Genomic DNA, 22,497 nt, shown 5'->3' with positions numbered 1-22,497 from the left:
GAGCCAGAGGGAGAGCAGGAGAAGGGTTGGCTTAGGGGTCTTCGCATGGCTGGTGGGTATGGCCTTGCTGGGTTACCCCAGGTGAAGCAGGGGACACAGACTCCTGCCTGTCACAGCCTAGCTCACGTGTGCCCCACCATGAAAAGCATCCCCCTTCTTGTGGCTTGACTCTGTTCCTCTTCACAATGGTCCTGCTTTTTCACTATCATTCTTTGGGTGACTTGGAAGGCTCAGCTATCAGCATCTTCAGTGTTCTTGTCCTTTTCCTTTTATAACTGTGCATTTTAAAGATTATGAACCTAGTCTGAGAACATCAATTCTCTAATTTTAATTTGGGGAGAAGAAGAAAGGAAAATGTATCCATTGGACAGAAGTACGCATCCATACTGATGTGATTCTTGACTCCTTAAACTTTGGTGGAGTTCCATATTAGGAAATGTATTTTGGTTGTTTAAAAAAGTGTAAATTTCCTTTCATAAAGTATAACTATGTGCCAGGCAGATCTCAGTGGGGACTGGCACCCTCCCCAGCCAGAGTGTGGAGAGGCCATCACTCTGGTCTTTGGGATTTGGGTTGGAGATAGGGAAGAGGGAGGAGAAAGATGGTGCCCTGGCATTAGGCTTAAGCTGTTTTCCACTGTCAAGTCTTCCAGGCACTGGGCCAGCTGAAACTAAGAGATGTCGTCTCTTCTTGGAGGTCTTGAAAATCCAGGAGTTCCCTGATGTCACAAAGGAAATAGGAGAGGTGCTATGGACCAAGCAGGGCAGCAAAAAGTTGACAAATCAGAGCCAGACTGGAGAATGGAGGGGACTCCACTTTATCTACTGAGTCTTCCTAGCAGGTGACAACCTTTGGGAATGCCCCTGGAGCCCTTTGTTTGGGGCAGTAGTGGAGCCACTTAAGAGAGTCCATGAGACAGGTCTGTGAACTTACGGGGGTATGGACTGCTTCCAAACGAAGGCAGCTAATGACAGAGGCTGTTCTGGACATGTCTATTAGACACTCAAACATGGGTCTGTGGTGAGATGTATTAGAATGTTGGTGTTGAGAAGGCCTTTAGAGAGCCTTGGCCTAAAAATTCATTTTGCATTGAGTATCTCAAGACTCAGCAAGCTGAATGAATTGCCCAAGGTCACACATCTTAGGAGTGAGTAACAGAGCCACCAATTGAAGAGAATCCCCCTTGCCTGCAGGACACCCATACATGCATACATGTAATAAATTCCCCACGAGCATGCACACATATGCAGGCCTATGTTAGAAGACGGCAAGTTTATACTGTGCACTTACTAAACAACAACAAGTTCTTTTGAGACCAGAGGAGTTGGCAATCTCTGACAGTTTCCTGTAGAAAACTTTCTTAAAACCCTGACTTTTTGGGCGATGCTCTTGGGAGAAAAATCAGCTGCAGGCGTCCGTCTGGCTGCCCATGGGCAAGTGTTCGTGCTGCCGTTGCTTCCTGCCACAATACAAAAAGCCAAGTTCATCATGGAAGTCTGCAGAGCTGCAGGTCCTAACACCGTGTGGTAGCCTTGGAGAGAATAGAGGGAAAACAGCTTTGCAAGACAGGCTAATGCCGGGACGGGGAGTAATGGAGCAAGATAACAAGCTTTTGATTTTTCTTTTGGCTTTAATTAGCCCTTTCAAGTTACAGGCAAGTTCAGGGCCGAGAGTAGAAAGGAGGAGGCCAGAAACTCTGCACAGGCCTGGGGCTGTCTCTCCAGCCAGTCTGAAAAAGGCCAGGCTGGTGTTTAATGCACAGTATCAGTTTCCTTTGATTTGGCAGATACCCGAGTTCCTTTGCTCCCACCCTCCTGTTACGATTCCTTTGGAGTCGGCTCAGACCACACGTGTTTCGTGCGACATCGGCCAGGCCAGGCTCTGTGTTGCCCCGATGGCACCATTTGCAAACCCAGCTCTTCCTCAACTCATTTACAAGGCTGTTGGGTTGGTTTTCTTGTTCCCTTCCTGCCTAGAGGTGGAGGATGAACAAGATGAACTCTGGAGATCTCTCTTGTCACGGAGTCTGACACTCCCTTGAGCCCTGTGAATTGAGAACTCAGTCCCAGATGACCTCTGTCCTGTGGTGTTTCTGTTGTAGGAAGATGACAGAGGGCAGGGCAAGGCCCAGGAGGTTGGCTTTTAGGACTTGTATTTTGTAGGGTAAGGGGTCCCCTGTGGGTTTTATCATAGTTACAACTCTAAAAGCTTGAAGAAGGGATTTGAGTAGCAATGAATGTCAACTGTGCTCCAGGCTGTACCAGCTCTCTAAATTAGAATGCTCCTCCCATGGGGCTCTTCAGGCTTTTCTAGCCCTTTCCACATCCTGAGACCCACATTCTTCCCCCTGAACTCACACCTCCAGAACTCAGAGCCGGGATCCGCAAAACTCCTGGGCCACCTGCCTCCTTCACAAGGTCCCAGCACCTGCTTTGGCTGTGTTCATTTGGGGGATAGGAAGGAATGGGAAGAAGAACCCCTACTACAAGGCCCCTTGTGCCAGGGAGCATCCACAGAGCACTGGGCAGGCCAGAGCCTGAGGACCGCACAGAGGGAAAAGTCTTGGGCCGTTGGGGTAGAACCTGCTGACCTGCAGCCCCCAGAGAGCTCAGCTGTACCTCAACTTCAGGTGAATCAGGGAAGGCCGGCTGTGCTCCCATTGGAGATGAGGGCTGGTTGGCCAGGAGTGGCCTCCTCATGGGAATGTGTTGCTGTGGACATAAACGAACCTGTCACAAATGTACATTCCTGAGTGGGCACCAAGTGTGGAGGCTAGGGAAGCAGCTGGGGCTTTCTGGTGTCAGTGGAGGGTGGGAACAGCAGCTTCCGCCTTCACCCTCTGAGCCATGCTTTACCCCTGTCCTGGCTTTCTCCAGCCTGGGTGGAAAGAGGTCTCCCAGAACAAGTGGGTTAGTATCTGAAAGTAACTCTGAGGATCTCATGAGGACATGGGTATGAGGGGGGGTCCTAGAGGGTCTGTCAGAGCCCCAATTGTCTTGGGACTCAGGGGACTAGAGGTCAAGCTGAGACTGATTTGCTAATGAGCACTCATGTGGGGAATGGCAGTGATTTCATTTCTCAGTTTCTGTGGCTTATCACTGGTGCATCTCTATCCCCAGCCCCTTTTGAAGGCTGCCATCCAGGCTCCCTGAGGCCCCCTGTCTGCAGAGCATGTGACAGACAGTAAGGCTGGGGAGCCCACACCTGTGGCCTCTGTCATGTGCCAGGACCTTATGCAGGAGAAGGTGATGGCTGTCTGTCCTTCTCTGGGGGGGACCTGACACTCCTGACTTGGAGTGGGCAGCTGGCTGGAGAAGATGCTGGGTTTGACCAAGCACCTGGCATCCCAGAATTCCCCAGGCATAGGGTTATCTATACCTTCTCTCCTTTCTTCACCTTCCTGGGGCAACCTCATCCAACACTAACGAACTAGCACCTCTTAATAAACTAATGAATGGTGAAACATATATGGAGCCCTAGGGAAGGGCTTGGCAATGCACTCCCTCCTGGTGGATACCAAGCATTGTGGAATGGCATCTGTCTCCAGGAGCCCACACAGTGGAGGAGAGAGATGCACACCAGCAGGTCATTATGGCCTGGGTGATGGGAACAATGGCTGTGGTCATGGGAGTGACTGTCATTCACTCCACTTCAGTCTTCCCTGACTTTGGAACTGATTGAGCCATGGGTATGGGAGTCAGATAGTCTCGGCCATAGTACTGATTAGGCGGTGTGGAGAAAGGTGGCATGCAGAAGGTGCAGAAATCAGCTTCTCAATCTCCCTGTCAAGCCTTGACCTGAGTGTCCCTCAACTAGAAAATTTGGGTCCTTGGAGCAGAAACTATTATCCAGCATCACCAACTGACACCTGTCAAACCCCAGTAGTGGGAGCAGAGGGCAGAGACCTCCCGGCTGTCTGGAAATAACACACTGGAGTTTGCATGGTACCTGATGGTTAACAAGGGCTTTCTCACAACTTTTCTTCTCCCAACAATACTGTAGGATAATGGAAGGGCAGGCATCCTCTGCAGTTGAGGGAATGGAGGAACACAAAACTCAAGTGTTTCACTCAAGGTCATGTAATTAGTAAACTGAAGGCTGTTCTGTATCCTAATTCTCAGCTTGGTGCTCTTCCCGTGGTGTTTCACAAGAGTGTGCTAGCAGTGTCTGGGGTGGGCAGTTCTTGGTGCAGGGACTGCCTGATATTGTAGGGCGTTTGTGATCCGGGGCCCTACAGTGCTGAGCACCAGTGGAAGTTCCCAGCCACTACAAGACTAGAAAACCTCTCACATTTCCAGAAGCCTCTCGTTGAGAACCATTGCTAGACCCAGCTCCCACCTGACTCTGGAGTTTACCCACCAGCCCTGTGTAGTCCCACAAGGGCCACACAGGCACAGGAGATGGAGCTGTTTCTTTTTAACCCAAAGCTCCCCTTCCTGCCCTGCTGTGTGCATGACTGGGTGGCGATGGAGGTCCCCTTCCACGTGCCGTTCCTTTGACTCACTGGTTTCCTAGGCATGGCAGTCCTGAGCAGGAGACAGGGTCACCCCCTTGGACTTGGGCTGGCCTCACATTCCAGTCTGGGTGGTTACTCAGGTTGGTCTGGCGCCTGAGATCCTGAAACTCCACGAAAGTGAGCATCCGGAATGGCCAGGCAGGCATCCCAGGCTCTGGGGCCTGGCTTCTGCAGGTCTTCTTGGGGTGTTTTCTTTTCCCTGTCAGCAGGAAGCACAGGGCTCAGACTTGATGGGGTTGTATCCTGTTGTTTATGGCATTAGACGAGGCTTGCTTTTTCTGCTCAGCTCTTGTCCTCTCTAGACCTGGAACTCCTCCTCTTCCCCGCACCATCCTTCCTCTCTCATCTCCACTACACTTGCCATACACACCATGGCCCATGCCACACTCATGTCCCAATAAATGCACACATCAAAAATCTAACACATTGGTCTGAGTGCCCACCTCTCATGGCCCATGACCCTGTACTCCAGATTTCTTATTTAGCACTGGGTGCCTGACATATCACAGCCCCAATCTTTATAGAATCAAGTCTTCCCACTCTCTCGGAGATGGCACCTGTCTCAGGTATTTAGGTGAAAGGCCCGCCCACCTCCCTCTTTTTGGCCAGCAGGGTTTGCAGTAAAAGTCCCATCCCAGACTAGTGTGCATGGTGCTTTGTGTGACAGGTAGCTGAGCCCTGGGCGATGTGTTGGGTTTGGCAGGAGCAAAGTTGAGGCTGGCTTCCTAGGCTGGATGTACTCTCCCAGGATGCCCACCCTGGAGGCCATCGGGTCAGCAGGGAGTGAGGCGGGACCCAGGAGTCACACAGGCTGAATTTTAACGCAGACTGCTGCCAGGAGAGCTTAGCACAAAGTCAGGTTTGAGGATGTGTGCTCTCACAATACTGAGACATGGACTGCATGTCATGAGCCCGAGCACAGTGGCGTACACACCCATAGCACACCCATGTGCACACACCCATTCTTTCTGTCCTTGATGTCTGTCCTCCTCGTTGCTGTCTGTTGCTTTCTCTGTTTCTCTCCTCTTGCTCACTCACTCACACTCTTGGTGCACGGTCCTCTCTTAGCCTTTCTCTGTCTCCCTATTTCTGTGACTTGTTCTCCCTCACCCCCACACACTCTGCTCAGCAGCAAGTACAATGAGATTTCTCTCTCTCACACACACACGCCTCATGCAGTGTGAGATAACCCTGCCAAAATGGGAAGCCAGACCTCTTGTTCAATGGGCACATAGACCAGCCCTACTTAACAATCCAGATCTGGACTTCTGGGCCTTCCCTTCAATTCCTTTCGTCCTCACAGGGTGGCGTCTTGGCCGGGTTACTGGTCTAGGAGTCAGGATCTTTGGGTCTCAGCCAGTCCCAGCTTGTGAGATATCACTGGGCAAGCAGTTTCCCTTTTGCTTTGAATCACACATTTTATCTTCAAGAAGGAGATGATAAAAAAGTATCCTTTTAATAAAGAGTCCGGAAGCTCCTAAGGAAAGAGAAATATACAGATGTTAATAACGATAGACACACAGCCCCTTATATTCATAGGACACTCAAACATCTTCATAGCATCATCCTGTGTCTCCTCCTTTAGTTATAATAACCACCCAAGGGGACAGAAAGGGGCGTAATAATATTGCAGTGATTTCATGCTTAGAATTTTTTTTCCTTCACCAATACCTGCTTTTGAGAGATTTGGGCTGTGCTTAATGCAGGTGTGGTGTTTGGTATCTCAGGCCCTAGGATGTGCTCCAGCTGCCTTTATTATTATTATTTCCCCTTCCCCTTCCCCTCCCCCTCCTTCTTCTTCTCCTTCTCCTTCTTCTTTTGAGACAGTGTTTCACTCTTGTTGCCCAGGGTGGAGTGCAATGGCGCGATCTTGGCTCACTGCAACCCATGCTTCCCGGGTTCAAGCGATTCTCCTGCCTCAGCCTCCTGAGTAGCTGGGATTACAGGCATGCGCCACCACGACCAGCTAATTTTTGTATTTTTAGTACAGACAGGGTTTCATCACGCTGGCCAAGCTGGTTTCAAACTCCTGACAGGTGATCCACCCACCTCGGCCTCCCTCCAATTGCCTTCCTTTCTATATAGCACAGGTTATGAATGATAAGATAATGCATTTGGGTGACAAGACACATTTTGGGCCAGTGCTTGCTGCTGTTACCTTCACATGTCCCTTAGTTTTTGTAAGGTATAAGGGAAGGACTGCACATCACCACACCAGGCTTGTTTCTTTTATCAAGAAAGTCAGTGGAGAGAAGGAGAAAGAGACAACTGAGAGAGCTCTTCTCCATCTGGCCTCTCAATTTACATGTTTTCCCTAGTGTGTGTGGCCCTATGGGCAGGAAACGGGGTCAGTGGGAGAGAAGCAGCCCACTCCCTTCCCTGGTCTCTGTGCCATTACTGTGTCTCCGTCAGTGTTCCAAAATATAATGGGATTTGTTCGGCTGATTTATCCCACACGCAGGCAACATTACCCAGACCCACACCTAGACCCGAGGAGCAAGAGAGGAAGATACATTGCCGTGAGAGTGGGGCTAATAAAATTTATTTCCACTAATGAGGGAATGACCTACCCCATAACTCAGCCTGGGGAGCAGGGCCACTGCTTCCCAGCACCCACCAGAAAACACACAAACTTAATCATCATGGTATTTCTCACTTCAATGACAGCCCTTGTGGCTGCTGAGTCTGCCTGCCATAGACTCCAGGAGGGACAGTGGGATTTGGGATTGATGGACTGGTGGCATGGGATTTATCTGCCCCTGACAGGTAGCCACTGGGGTTCTCTGGAGCTAAAGTACAAAAGGAGAGAGGTGGCACCCCAGTAGGTTTTGGTTGTTACCATTCGCAATGCTGAGAAACTTCCCTGGGATTTCCCATGGGTCTGGTGTTGGTTGCTAAACCAGCCCCCAGGGATAATGCCATCTGCAGAATTTCAATTCTCTTGGTAGGCTGGCCTAGAGCTCTGGCCTGTCCAGACTATTCCCAGGGCATGGCCCTGTCTGCTTCTCAGAGGGAGGAACACGAGGCTCTTGGCAGCTAAGCTAATGAGGAGAAGGTCATGGGTTCAACCCCTAGGATTCTGAGCTGAAGCTTGTCTTTGGCTGCTATGCTCAGCAACCCCTAGAAGGGGTGCACTGCTAAAGCTCGCTATTGGTTACAGCCTGGCCTGCAGAATGTGTGCTTGGCTTAATGCCCTTCTCCAGGGAAAACTGCTCAATTTAGTGACATTAGTTCCCTATTAGAAGGATAGCTTGTTTTCATGATGAGTGAAAGACCACTTAGATATCTGGTGGGCTTGGGCCACAGATGGTCCCAAAACACACATAGAAACTTCAAAATGAGTATTAAAAGAAGTGTTGCTTTTAGCAAATGGCTTTCATCATTCCATAGGTAGTTAAATGCATTCATTTAATGAATATTTGCATCAAAATCCCCAGCCCCACCTCCTAAAACACAATGACTTTCTATCCTGTTTTCTGGTCTGCTCTCCTCCTTTTTGAGATGCCCAGAAGCAAAGCTCTTGGTTCTTGAGAACTGGGGCCATATGATAGTCCCCACTTATCCTTGGGAGATGCTTTCCAAGTCCCCCAGTGGATGCCTGAAACCACAGATAGTCCCAAACCCCATATATACCGTGTTTTTTCCCATGCATACTCTCATGGTTTGGCTATGTCCCCATCCAGATCTCATCTTGAAGTCCCACATGTTGTGGGAGGGACCTGGTGGGAGGTAATTGAATCATGGGGGCAGGACTTTCCTGTGCTGTTTTCGTGATAGTGAATAAGTCTTATGAGATCTGAGGATATTATAAGGGGGTGTTTCCCTGCACACACTCTCTCTTTTTGCCTGCTGCCATCCGTGTAAGACCTGTCTTCCTCCTCCTTGCCTTCTGCCATGATTGTGAGGCCTCCCCAGCCACGTGGAAATGTAAGTCCATCAAACTTTTTCTTCCAAGTCTCCAGTATGTCTTTATCAGCAAATGGACTAATATACATACATACCTATAATAAACTTTAATTTATCAGTTAGGCACAGTAAAAGATTAACAGTAATAATAATCATAAAATAGAACAGTTATGACAGTATACTATAATAAAAATTATGTGAACATTGTCTCCTCTGTCTCTCAAAAATCCCTTATTGTGCTCTACTCTTCTATTTTTGGGCAGTGGTTGATCTGAAGCTGCGGTAACTGAAACCATGGAAAGTGAAGCCAAGGATCAGGGGAACTACTATAATTTGTTGGGTTGTTTTTCCAACCCCAATACACTTTTCTCTAAGCCCCTGCAATGATGTGTTTGTCTAACTGGGTTGTTGTGACTGTGGCTTGCTGGCTCTCCCTCTTTCTGTTACACATTCGTTTTCCCTACAATCTCATTGAAAAAGACACCCGAAAGAATCATTCTGAGATGAAGCATTAGTAACTGAGTGTATGAGCCCTCACTCCAGCATTGTTTCCATGGCCTGTGCTCACAACCAGGGTGCAGGGGTCAACTTTCACCTATTATAGGACTTCTCTGGCTTGCTTTCAAGAGACTTCAATCTCATAGGGCCAGCGTGGGTCCTGTGTCTCAATGTCACGTGTCTGAAGGCAGACCTTCTGGGGAGGGCTAGGAGTCATAAAAGAGAAAGTTTAGGCATTACAGGAAAGCAATCAGAGGATTGGATAGTCAGGTCTTTTTGATTTCTTTGTTACAGAATCATCACTCAAGCACATGGAAATATCTTATAGAATAATAGGCTTTCTGAGGAGCTAAACCTAAGCCTACTAGAGACTCCCAGAGATATTTCTACCTCCCTGTGGACACTCTCCACTTACCTCTACCCCTGAGGAGGTATTGTGGAGTAAACACGATGTCATCTCAAGGGGTGGATGCATTTTGTGTATTTATGAACACCTTAGGGGTCAGCCGTCATATTTGAGATACGGTTCCCAATAAGTGGGTGATCATTATCTCCCTGTACTGCAGAGCTTTACAACTGGAGCCTGCATTTAGACATGAGCTATTACAGTTTATCTGATCAATATCTCCCTTTAAAAAGAAATCCCACATGTGTAATTCACTGATTCCCCATTTCCAGTGGAGGTGTGCTATGGTCAGCAACCAGGATATGTGTATGTGTGTGTGTGTGTGTGTGTGCGTGCGTGCACAAGTGTGCATAAGTGTAATTAATGGGAAGAAATTTAGGGCTGCTCAACATGAAGAATATAAAGACCTTTTCTTTTCTGTATCAATAGGCAGCTCATGGGCTTCCCTTCCCTTTTTCTCCTAACTTGAATTTCTTTTCAAAACGTCATTTCTCACTTTCCTTTGGGATGCACAGACCCAGGAAAGGAAGAAGCCCAGCTTAAGTGAGTGGTCAGGGGCCTCCTTGGGAGGGGAGAGTTGGTTGCTTCCAGTTTCTGGAGATGGCAGAGCACTCATCCCTGGTGCTGGGAAAGGGACTGGACACATAGTCTCTTCCCCAGCAGTCCCCTGCCTTCCTCTGATCCTGGAATAGATTGTCTTTGGGACCACCCTCTAACAACCCCAGAGGAAACCCGTGCTTAAGATCAGTTTTTTAGCCAGGTGTGGTAGCTCATGCCTATAATCTCAGCATTTTGGGAGGCCAAGGTGGACGGATCACAAGGGCAGGAGTTCAAGACCAGCCTGGCCAACATAGTGAAACCCCGTCTCTACTAAAAATAAAAAAATTAGCTGGGTGTAGTGGCAGGTGCCTGTAATCCCAGCTACTCAAGAGGCTGAGGCAGGAGAATTGCTTGAACCTGGCGGGTGGAGGTTGCAGTGAGCCAAGATTGTGCCACTGCATTCCACCCTGGTAACAGAGCAGGACTCCATCTAAAAAAAAAATCAGGCTTTTTTGTTTTGTTTTGTTTTGTTTTTTCTGTCACCAGGAATTTGGGGTTTTGGTACCTATTTTCTCAGCAACTTGATAGGTAACTAGGGGAGGCACCTCACTCTCCAGGCCCCAGTGGCCCCTTCTGTAAAATGGGGCTGTTGGATTTTATGATCCTGAGTTATTTTCCGCATCTGAAATATGATGTGTGAAAGAGGGGCAGAATACTGTTTCATAAGCCAGAGAACTTGGACGTGAGCCCAGACCTCGCCTCTTCCTCAAAGTCATGCCTGCTCCCCAAGGCAGTTGGTGGTCCATTCTCTGGACTCCCCCAGGCACATAACTGAAGCAGGGCCCAGATGGCTTTGTCTAGTCATGGCCCAGGTCTGTCCATCCCCACACTGGGAAAGAGGCAGTTCTTTGGGGCAGGAACTGAGACTTTTTCATCTTTCTATTCTTAGGGGCTCACCTAGTGCTTGGGGCTTAGTAGGTTTTTCATAAATGCTCTTAAGCAAATTAGTAAGTGAGGAAAAGTAAATAGCCTTGTCTTCATCTAGTGCCTATTTCCCTTGCTGAACGCAGGGAGTTCCAATAGCCCAAGGAACCAAAGGTTTGGTGGGAAAAGGTTGGTCTAAAGATCCAGTTGGCCCCACCATGGGTGAGCTTGGGAAAATCTCTGATGTCTTCTTACCCTATGCAACGGACAGGAGTGGGGACTTCCCAGCTGTGGAGGAGTATGAGGCTAGATGATACTTTTCCATTCAGGAAGGGCAGGAGAGCTGGTTTTCTCCCAGATGGGAGAAATCCTCTCTCTCCTGGACCACAGGAGTTGCCCACAGAGCAATGGGAAGACCAGATCTGATTTTGTCTTCCATCCTGGGGCTCAGATGGCTGCTGCTGCCCCAGAGCAGCAGGGCAGGTACATAGGTGGCTGGAGGAGTTGGCTGCATGGCACATCCCTGCTGGTCACCTGGTCTGCCTCTTCAGGATCAGCTTAGGATGTTTGTAAACAGTGGATGCCTGCAGTAAGAGGGCAGCCTGTGGCTATGGAAGAGACTGTGTCCCAGAGCTAAGCTAATTGGCCCACAGGGGGATGGACCTGCTGACCTTCACCTCATTAGCACTGCATTTGGGCCATTGAGCTCTGGCTTGGTTCTGACCTTTCTGTAATAAGGACTCAATGTGAGGTTTCTGCAAAGGTGGGGCAAGCCAGGGCCGGGGCTAAAACAGCTTTGCTTGGCAGAGGAGGTGCAATCAGGACTCACACCAGGGGCTGTGCAGGCTGGGGTCAGGGGAGGATTTGGGGATCAGGGGCCCACCCCGCCTCATCACCTGCTGCCTTCAAGATGGATTGATGTGGCTGTCAGAGTGGGTGATAGTTGGTTCCTTAAGAGTGTGTCATTGAGGCCTAGGGTTGGGGGTGATGTCTAGAGTTCTTGGGGAGATCCCCCCACTGTTCCCCAGGTCTACCTCCTCCTCCAGCCCTTCCCAGGGAGTCTCCACAGAGACTACCAGGCACTTCTGGGGTCCTTGGGCAGTGGCAGTGGCTTTGCAGCTCTGCCCCTGAGCCTGGGGAACTGCTGGAGGAAGGAAACCGTCTGCATTTAAAATCCCCTTTTCATGGAGATGATAGAGCTTTTCAGAGTGCCAATCTCTCTGCAGAGTGGGAGCAATTTCCCTGTAATTGGTAAAGTAACCGTAACTGCTCTGTCATTTGTATGTGGCGACACGTAATTGCACGGTAACCTTTGCTGCGGTGCACGAGGGAAGCGCCATAAGCTATTAGATTGTAATTCGGAGTGTCAGCTCCAGCTCCCCACACCACCTCCACCACCACCACACTGCGTGGCAGGCCCCTGGGGAGGCTGCTGTGAGGGCTCTCTGCATCCAGGTCCAGCTCAGGGTCCTGCTCCCGAGTCGGGATGCTAGGCACATGCTGTGTTCTGTAGTGCCCTCAGCTAGGAAGGGCCCTCCATGGTGATCCAGGCCAGTGCTTCTCAAACCTTAGCAAGAGGGGGTTGGAATCACCTGGAGAGGTGTGAAGATGAAGATGTCTGAGCCCCCACCCAAGACTTTTTAATCCAATATGTCTGGGGTGGAGCTCAAGAATTTGCATTTCTAATGAATAGCGCTCAGTCTCCTGGATCTGAGACCATTCCCCTGCTCCTTCAGTCAGCTTTGTGACCAAATGTCTATCGGATTCTGGAAGATATTTGGGAAGAACTACCTTTGCTATTTCATCTTCACAACATTAGCCCCTTTAATTTTCATGATACCTCTGAGATAGATACCATGAATTTCCTCAAAGATGCTGAGAACCGCAGAGGTCATCTGACCCATCTAATGACAACAAACAACAAGAGTGAACACTCCCATAGAACTAAGTGCCAAACATTGTTCTATATGTTTTAAATTATTTAATCCTCACCACAGTACAACAAAGTATGTACTATTGTAATAATCCCCATTCTACAGGTAACAAATTAAGGCACAGGGAGGTTAAGTGACTTTCTCAAGGTCACACAGGATTAAGTGGCAGAGTTGGGATTCAAACCTAAGCACTTTGGTTCTGGTTCAGTACTGTTAGCCACTGTGAAGCTCAGGCTTTTATTTATCTATCTGTCCAACGAACCATCCATCCATCCATCCATCCATCCATCCATCCATCCATCCATCCACCCATCCACCCATCCACCCATCCACCCATCCATCCATCCATCCACCTATCCATCCATCCATCTATCCATCCATTGTATTAGCCTATTATAAGCCAGGCACTAAGCTAGGGGTACAAAGATGCATAAAACGTGGCCCCTGTCCTTGAGCTCATAGTCCTTGGAGCACAGTGGATCAGCCATCTTAATTTGTACCCCATGCATTCTATGAGGACATTTGAGCCAGTGAAAAAAGATCCAGAGTCCTCTGGATAGGGACCCAGAGAGTGTGGCCCTCTCAGGGCTTCTAGGTCTGTCCACAGGGTTGTCCAAATGGGCTCCATATAAATTCTCATTTAATGGGTGCTTATTTCCTTTCCTTGTGAGAGTAGAGTTGCTCTCTAATAAACAAGGGTTATCATAACCATGGCCAAACATTTTGTGTATTTGTGGAGTGACAGGAGGCCAGCCCCAGGCCTAGGGCATGGCTGGGCTCCTGATAATAGCAGAGTCCAGACCTGGCTCCTCTGGCTGTGGCTCTAATCTCACTGTTAATGGGGCCCAGGGGAAGGCTCAGCCAGGGCTGGAGCAAACATTCTCTTCCCCCATCACCCAGGTGCTCAGGAAGCCACATCAACCCTCACCTGTTGAAGGCTTTCACCAATTAGCCTCACCTTCCCGGGCCCAGGCAGCCCTGGCATCTGTTCTCTACATGTCCACCTCCCAGGTCTACAGGCCCTGGGGGACCCTCCCTCCCCCTGCTTCAGGTACTGTAATTAGCTGGTGGTTTCAGCTCAGACCCAGCAATGCATACTGTGTTTGCAGTGCATGCTGTGGTCAAGAGGCATGCTAGGGCCACACCCTGCAGCCATTCTACCCCTGTTCCAGGCAGGATTTCTATACACAAAAAATCAACATGAAATATCTTACATTGAAGTGCTTCCCAGCTCACCAGGTGCCATCGCTCCAATAAGCTTACCCGCTCTATAGCCAAGGAAAGTCAGGTTACAGAACAGTAGGAGCAAGTTGTGCAATTGGGAAGCAGCTGAGCTGCCATTTGAACCCAAGTCCTGTGATTTTTCCACTGTTTCAATCTTAAAAATCCCTCCCCCATCACCCCAGATTCAAGGAAACAAAGAGCAGGGCCACCTCCTGCCACAGCTGGGGACCTCAGCAATCATGAAGACCTGGACGGTGCTTGGTCAAAGGACTCAATGGCACCTTTATCACTTGGGGCCCCATTCAGAGAGAGAGAAGCCAAGCCACGGGGAAACTTAGGGAGAAATCTGTCATTGTCCCAGATCTTGCCTGGGCTTCTTGCTTCAAGAGGTTCTGCAGAGGAAGAGAGTCACAGGTCCCTGACTTTCTGGTTAGTGAATGATGTAACCAGCCAAATGTATACTCTCTTTTTGTACGTGGCTGTTGATGTCCTTCTGTCGTGCCCAGCCAAGGGGAAGAATCGTATTCAGTAATCCTGACCCCTCAGAAATGCAATTTTGGGAGCTGAGAGGCCTGAAGCCTCCTCAGGCTAATGAGGCCTATGTTTGTGGCAGAGGTGGTGGGGAACTGTGAAACAAGGACTCCCTTTGTCCCTGCCTCAGTGTCCCCACCCTGTGCAGTGTGAACAATCATTCAGCCACATCTACTCAGAAAATGGATCATAATGGGTGATGTACAGAGTTTGCGACGCCAGAGGTCCCTGCAGCACAGTTTAGGCCTGAGAAATTTGGGGATGCGAACTCCTTGTGAACCAGAAGCAGGAACATTCAAGGGCCACGAGGACCCCTAGCACCCCAGGCTGCCCTTGGAAGGCCTGGCAGGTTGCCATGGTCATATCCAGCAGGCACAGGGCATCTTCTCCCCTTTGCCTGGATTTGTCCTTCCTTTCTTCTACTCCTCCCTTTAACCCTCTGCCTCCTGTCTCCTTCCCCATCTCCTTATTTAGGGAAAAATGGTAAAGATCAGACTAAATCTTGAACACTCCCTTGTAAATTTGACTCCTATAATTTTTTGTTTGTTTTTTTAGTAGAGACAGTGTTGGTCTCGAACTCCTGACCTCAGATGATCTGCCTGCCTCTGGCGGGATTACAGGCATGAGTCACCATGCCTGGTCAATAATTTTTCTTTTTTTTTTTCTTTTAAGGGAAGGGGAGAGAGCTGTGTTTGGCCTGGGCTGGTGGACCAGGCCACGCAAGAGAGGCCAGAGGCTATCAAAGGCCTGGAGTGGATGTCTGCTCTACACGTGGCCTGCTCAGGCTTGCCCACGCTCTCCCCGTTTTCGCTCTGACTGTCCCTACTCTGTAGGAAGAAGGGGAGCCATCAGAGAGGCTTCAGATGCTGAGCAGGTCACCTTCTCTGGAGGGACAGTGCCTGCCCGCACCTCTTCTGGGAGGGAGTGGAGGAGCCTGCTGGGGCCAGGTGAACGCCTGTGGCCTGGTTTCACACACTCCCTGGCAAGAGCCTGCCTGCTGTTCTCCAGATGCCCTTTCCTTTGGCTGGATTGAAGCCTTTAAAAAAGTGACACCTTGTATTTTATTTCACCCCTTTCTCTGCAAAGTCCAAAGACATTTACAGGCACGAGTGCAATAGGCTTTATGGTAGCCCATCAAAGAGCGGGGATTGTTTCCGTCATCTTTATAGAGCAGAAAATAAAAGCACAGGAAAACGGAGTAACTCTTCTGAGACCACATAGCCCTTCCAAGACACGGTGGAAAATTCACCCCAGAGGGGTGTGTGTGTGAGACCCAAGCTGCTTGTGGGGAGTGCCGAGGGCTTTTCACCAGCTACTACCAGGGTCTTCACCACTCCCCAGCACCCCAGAGCCCAGCTGAGACCCTCTGTTTCAAGGGGGACCTGATGGCCTGGTATAAAAAAGAGAGATTCCACTGGAAATACAGTGGGGGAACTGGCCCCAAAGCTTCCTGACTTCTGAAATTATACTTCCTGGAGTCAGGAGCAAGCGAGTCAGGGTCAGTATCTCACAGGATATCTGGAGAATATTCTCTTTAAGGAACACTAGTAGGTGTTGCAGTCAAAATGGTTTAGCAGCTGGGTGCAAGGGCTCACACCCGTAATGCTAGCACTTCGGGAGGCTGAGGGTGGTGGTTGCTTGAGCTCAGGGGTTTGACACCAGCCTGGGTAACATGATGAAATACTGTCTCTACAAAAAATACAAAAATTTAGCCAGGCATGGTGGCACATGCTTGTGGTCCCAGCTACTTGGGAGGCTGAGGTTGGAGGATCGCTTGAGCCTGGTAAGTCAAGGCTGCAGTGAGCCATTATCATGTCACTGCACTCCAGCCTGGGTGACAGAGTGAGACCCTGTCTCAAAAAAAAAAAAAAAAAAAAGGAAGAAAAGGTTCAGTGAATAAAATGTTTAGGAGAGGCTGAGATAAGGTTAAACATACTTTTTCTTAAAAATACTTTTCAGACCTTTCATGTAACTAATCGTTATGAATCTCTTAGATGGTGTTAAAAGGCTTCCTAGAAATTTGCCTGCAGAGCCCTTTTATCTGTAGAGCATATCGGGGACCTGGGTTTCCATGGATGGCACTTTGGGAAGTGCTGGTGTAGGCATGGCAGGGCCAGGGCTGCCCTTCTTCACAATGCTCTAAAAGACACAGGGAGCCTGAGGTCGGAGCTCATAAAGCACCAGCTGTGGCACATTGAGTTGAATCAGCACATTCCTTCCCCCATTGCTCCTTTCCCCAGCTGATTGCCTGCACATGCCTCTGTTGTGATAGTGCTACTTACATGCTAATGTTTTCAGTTCCCTAGTCTACACTTTTGAGTCCTCATGTGTGTGTCTGCTCCAGATATGGAGACCACATCCCTCTTCTGTATAGATACGAAGACCACATTCCTCTTTGTGTATAGATACGGAGACCACATCCCTCTTGTGCCTGAGCAGAGCGGCCTGGAGCCCCTGCTCATCTGGGCTGACCCAGGGCTTTTCCACGTGAGGCTTTTCCACGTGAGGATGATGATGATAATAATGATGGACAAAGCTCCCAAGATGGCGCTGGGAGGGGTTGGATGAGGGGCAGAGACACACAGATTATGGAGAAAGGAGACCTGCGGACCTGTGTTTTCTGCCATGTCCCTGCACCTGCCCACTCAGGTGACTCTTCACAGGTCACCTAGTTTCTCTGGAGTGACGTTTTTCATGTAAAAAAGAGGGATTGTTACCAGATGTTTCATCTCTAAGGATTCTTCTACCTCCATAGTTTCCTGACTTAATATCTCTGCCAATTTCCTTGACGCTCCCTTCTAATTTTTCTCTTTTTAAAATTTGCAGCTCTTAACCATTGACGATAACTTCTGTGGCCTGGACATGAATGCTCCCCTGGGAGTGTCCGACATGGTGCGTGGAATTCCCGTCTTCACGGAGGACAGGGACCGCATGACGTCTGTCATCGCATATGTCTACAAGAACCACTCTCTGGCCTTTGTGGGCACCAAAAGTGGCAAGCTGAAGAAGGTAGGAATGAGGTGCAGTACTTTTGGTTACTGTGAAGACAGTCTGTCCCTCCTGGGCTGGATGTTATCTTACATCTTTTTGCTAACTTGGGCGTGTGGGCAGGTGATACAGATTTGAGCTAAGGAGATACGCTGCTGTTGAGGTCATGATGATCATCTTGTCCTTTCTCTGCCTCTGTGCTGAGGTTGTGGGGTGAGTGTGTGGATTCACCTCCTCCCTAGAGCTGGTGTGCACATGAGAGGTGTCAGACCAGCCTTGCAGTGTTGTTCTAAATGGTGTATGCTGTGTTCAATTTGGGCTTGTGCCCTTAAGGCAAAGGCTTTATTAGGTCTGAGCAATTGGGGAAGGTGGGCAGGGGGAAGGGACATGCCTGTTCCCCTTGCTCCAGCCCTTCTGGCTGCTGCATCATCTGGAATGCATTCAGGGAACAGATGGAGGAAAGTGCAGACCTATTAAAGTTGCAAATGGGGCCCAGAGCCAAGTTGTGGGCTGAGAAAACCACGGGTGCAATGGGAACATGAAAATTGCTCTGGTGAGGTCAGATGGTATGATCTGGGGACCTGACCTTTCCCCTGCATCTTCCGGAAGCTGGCAGGTTCTGGAGTCCTGGGCGATCTTGGCTCATCAGCTGTGTTGGGAGCAGTCATCCGCCCAGGGATGTTTTGTGTTCAGGCTTCTCATCTCATGAGTTGGAACTGGCCCTATAGTGCATGCCCTTCTTGATTGGGTTAAAAGTCCTTCTAAGGTGGTAGGCAGGAGGTCCTGTTTCCTGTTGGCCAATAATTGCATTTTAGTCCTTTCCCAGGAAATATTGATGATTCCATGTGGAGCTCTTGCTTGCTTTATTTTGGCTTCTTTTGGGGTTCTCTGGACATTGTGTGATTCAGATTGAGTAAAGATTGAGACTAAGCCTTAATCCCTCCATTTCCCTTTGCTGTATTTCTGGCTGCTAGCTCTGGATGGTCAAGAGGAAATGTTCTGGGCATATTTAGAGGACTATGCCTATTTTACCATCCAACAATGTAACAGCCCAGCAATCATTTCTGTTGGCATCTCTGCGGACAGGTGGTGTGTCTGGAATGGGAGCATGTGGAGGACAAGAGGCGGGCACCCCAGAGTGTGTTTGTGACTTGGGAACTTGTGTGTGGAGTAATTCTATGGGTAATGACTGGGAAAGAAAACAATGAGCACTGGGGAAACACCATGGTACTCTGCAAGAATGGTGTCCATGATGTACCACACAGCAGGTGCTGCCCAGGAGGAAGTAACTGCCTAATTTGAGTGGACCGCCTTCAGTGTCACAACTAAAAAACAGCAAAATCATTGTGTACACATTTTTAAGAATTGTATTTCATAATTCCCTGCAAAGAATTGTATTTCATACCTCCGTTCTGTGAAGAAAATGGTAAGCGCAATGGAATCTTTCCTTGCTGCCTCAGACTCCTCGTGATTTTTGTTCACATATTGAACTGAGTTTTGTGGATGCCCAGGGAAGACGCTGTGAGACATGGGCATGTTATCCCCACACAGCTCCTGTGTCTGATTTTTGCTGCCTTCCCGGGTCTTCCTCTCATGCACTTGGCCACTCATCACTTCCAGTTGCTGCCAGGAATCCTGGTTGACTTCAGCACCTTTCCTCCTCCCTCATTCTGCAGCTTCCAGCTTTGGTGGGCTAGGAAACCAGATAGCCAAACTCTGAAATTGTGTCTGACACGCGTCAGTCCACACTGAGGAGAGAAGTACATGAGCTTTTGGGCAGGTGAATCAGATGGCTCGATTCTTCAGTAGGATTTGGCAAATTTGGTCTGCTGGAAAAGTGAATTCTAAATACCGGGGGCATTACTGTGTACAATTCATGCACTGAGACCTGCTTCACCTGCTGCAATGGGTGAATGAGCACCATTAAGAGTAAATAAGTCAGCAAGCAGTATGGGGGATGCTTTAACTCTTTTCTCCGGTGAGCTCAATCTCAGTGCAATGTAGAAGTAACTTCCTGCCTTGCCCTAAAAGAGTCTTACCCGCTGAATTTCCTACCAGCTGCCAGAGGACCATTTACTAGCTGGCAGGATGGAGTAGACCCTGGATGAGGATTTGTGTGTGTGTGTGATTGTCTGAGCTGGTTGGGCAGTGAATGTTATCAATGAAATGAACATTGAGAGTTCAGTGCACATAACAAAACAGTTATTTTCTCTTGGAAAAAGGAAGGTGTTTCCTGACCATGGCTGCATTGTAAACCCAAGATAGTCAACTTGCATTTTTGTGCTGTTTGTCCAAGGGTGGGTTGAGGCATTTGGTGACTGGTACTCTCTTGCCTGTGGAAGCCTGTCCAAATCTGTTCCCCGACAGGGAGGTCAAGTGCAGCACCATGAGTTTGGGATCAGGACACCCCCAGGAGCCTGGGCCAGCAAGGCGCTCAGAGACAACCCTCCTGAGGCAGGTAAGGACAGAGTCCAGCAGTCGGTCAGGCAGGCAGTGACAGGTGACACAGGCAATACCCCACCAAGAGGCTGGGGCTTCATAAACCGCGGCCGGCATTCCCATCTTTTACTTTGGTAGGTTGATATAAGAACAGTTCTGTTTCAGCCACCTGGGATATTCTATCTAATTTCCAGAGCAGTGGTGGGGCTGGTGAGGCATAAACATTTGAAAGGTAAGAGCGCAAGGGTCAGTTGGGGGGAATGAGCCTTCGGTCCTCCCGGGGAAAGCCAGGCCACTGGGGCGGCCAAACTTTCTGCTCTGCAGGCTTGGAGTGGCAGCCTTTTAATGGTTTTGCTCAAGCCCGGCTCCCGTGCCTGCAGACTCAGCACAGCTGGCCCAGGGGAACAGTCTGAGTTGGGAAAGGAAGGCTGGGCTGCCGAGTCTGTTGTTTGAAATAATAAAAAGCAAAAGTGGCCCATTTATTTATTTTTTCTTGAACAATAGAATTCCCCACCCCCACTCACTCACTAAGCACCACTCCCCTTTCCTTGTAATAATTCTGACTTGCTTTTCCCAGAGGTTATCAGGACCACAGTCACCTTTTGGGCAGAGGCCCAGCCGTGACAAGTTGTGGAGCTGCAGGAGGATTTTGCTGGAAGTTTTGCAAGTGACTGAGGCCAGGGCGTGAGAATAATGGAAATCATACTGTAGCCATAATTACAGAGTTGGTTTCTCTGAGCCCTGTAATAATCTCCTGTGTGTATCAAGGACCTTTCAGAGTTCTTTACGGTATGACAAGAGACTGGAAATGGGGGTAGGTGGGCAGGAGAGAGCTTGGGGGGATGCTAAGAGTAAGGGTGTTTGCTGTGGGTTTCAGGGGTCCAGGAGCTAGACCGAGCTATCCGTGGGCTGCTCTCAAAATTACTTTTTATTTTGCTTGAAAGGCATGAGTCCCAATCATTTGCAACCTTGTCTTTGACGACCGTAATTTCACTCCTTTAGTGCACACGTCACATGAAGCGGGGGGAAAGGAGGTGAGGAAAGTGCCAATTTAGATGTCTTTGATGTTTTCTGATGTGTGTGTGTTGCAGATGGTATTGGCAGCCTCTTCCTGTGGTGAGCTTTAAGGGTATGTGTGTTAAGAAATATGACCTATAAATACTACAGTCATAAGCAGGTGTCTAGGAACTTAGCAATAACCTACAGACTGTTAACATTTCCACTATAGGTAAAAATCATAAGGCAAATGCCATCTTGACTGGCTTTAGGGCCAAGCAAACCTAAATCTTTGGCTTGAGTTGGGACAATCAGCTCAGTGTTGTCTCAGAAGCACGAGATTTCTTTGCTTGAATATTTCTGCTGGAATCTTTTCCCTCTCTTGCTTTCTCTGCCTCTTGCTTTCCTTTCACTAAGCGATCATTTTTATGGCTGCTGTTCAGTGGTGAATTACTGCCTGACATTAGTGGGAGAGACTAATGTTCATTGTGAACCAAAACATCATAAACTTCCACTTGAGGTGTGATTGCTCCTCTCGCTGGTGATTGCGTCTTCCCTGGATGTTTTTGCTAGGTTAAACTGTTCACACCTAAGGGGGTGGAGCGCTGTATGGATGTTGGTTAAGCGGAACTCTGGCTGGCCCTGCTATTAGCCTGTTGCGGGACATGCATCCATGTGTCTGTGCACAGACTAATCCATACCAGCCTCTCTGAATAGGTACTGGGTGCACATTCCCATGAAGAGGCAATAGGAGTATATAGTACAAAAACCATTCTTATTGGGAATTGTCATGTAGATTAATTTAATCTTCCTAATTTTTTTTTCTCAAGCCTGTTTTAAAATTAATTTGCTTTTGTTCCCTAGTCCTTCGGCACAGGTCCACAAGGGGGAATCACCCAGGAGTGGATTGGAGTGGAGGGAGACCCACCTGGGGCGAACATTGCTTCTCAGGAACAGATGCTGTGTGTGTATCTTCAGTGCTCAAGTCACAAAGCAATATCAGATCAGAGAGTCCAGCCTCTGCTTTGTTGCTTCCTAAATGTACCTGGGAATTCTTCCTAAAATTACTCTGGAAATTTGAATCCACTTTAACTAAAAATAAATATTCATAGCACAGAAAGCCCTGCAGATGGATGGAAGTGTCAGGAAATCAAATGGAGATACAATGTTGGAACACCAAATAGACTAGGAACATGTGGTTAGGGCAGAGGGCATATGTATTTGATACAGGGTTCGGTCAGGTAGTTCTGTTGTGCTATATGTTTCTCCAGCCCAAGCTGCCATGGGTTCATGTGTGATTGATCACAAGCACAAAGGGAAAGAAATGCAGAAGCATCAGGGCTGACCGATTTCCATGACAGGAAAAGACCCTCTATTTGCTATATTGTGTCTGCATTTTCCATCCCTGGTTTTGCAAATATTAAACCTGCATAGACCTTACCCTGTGGGTTGTGTGAAGGGGAGGCTGAGGTTGAAGGGCTCCAGGCAGAAGATCCCACAGGTGTGCCAGCGTGCCACCCTCCCTCCTCTGATTTCACGTTCAACCACAGACAGACGGCATTCTGTCGTTAGTCTTTCCAGCCTGGGAATTCTAA

The 22,497-nt window shown here is 48.8% G+C and overlaps 1 protein-coding gene across 11 annotated transcripts in view; it reads left to right on the top strand.

Annotated features, from left to right (window-relative positions):
- PLXNA4 (plexin A4) overlaps positions 1 to 22,497 on the top strand; it is a 525,349-nt gene that overhangs the window by 141,909 nt on the left and 360,943 nt on the right. For 10 of the 11 annotated variants that reach the window (XR_927546.3, NM_001393897.1, XM_017012779.1 and 7 more), the window contains one exon: positions 17,306 to 17,488. Coding sequence is in view for 10 of the 11 variants with exons in the window: in NM_001393897.1 (NP_001380826.1) it covers positions 17,306 to 17,488 (183 nt within the window). In the remaining variant the exon portion in view is untranslated. Of the gene's footprint in view, positions 1 to 17,305; positions 17,489 to 21,766; positions 22,019 to 22,497 lie in introns of those variants that run through there. The other variant, NM_181775.4, reaches the window with a different exon arrangement.

Source organism: Homo sapiens, chromosome 7, assembly GCF_000001405.40.
Source record: "Homo sapiens chromosome 7, GRCh38.p14 Primary Assembly".
Lineage (NCBI taxonomy): Eukaryota > Metazoa > Chordata > Mammalia > Primates > Hominidae > Homo > Homo sapiens.
This window is presented reverse-complemented; position numbering and strand designations above follow the sequence as displayed.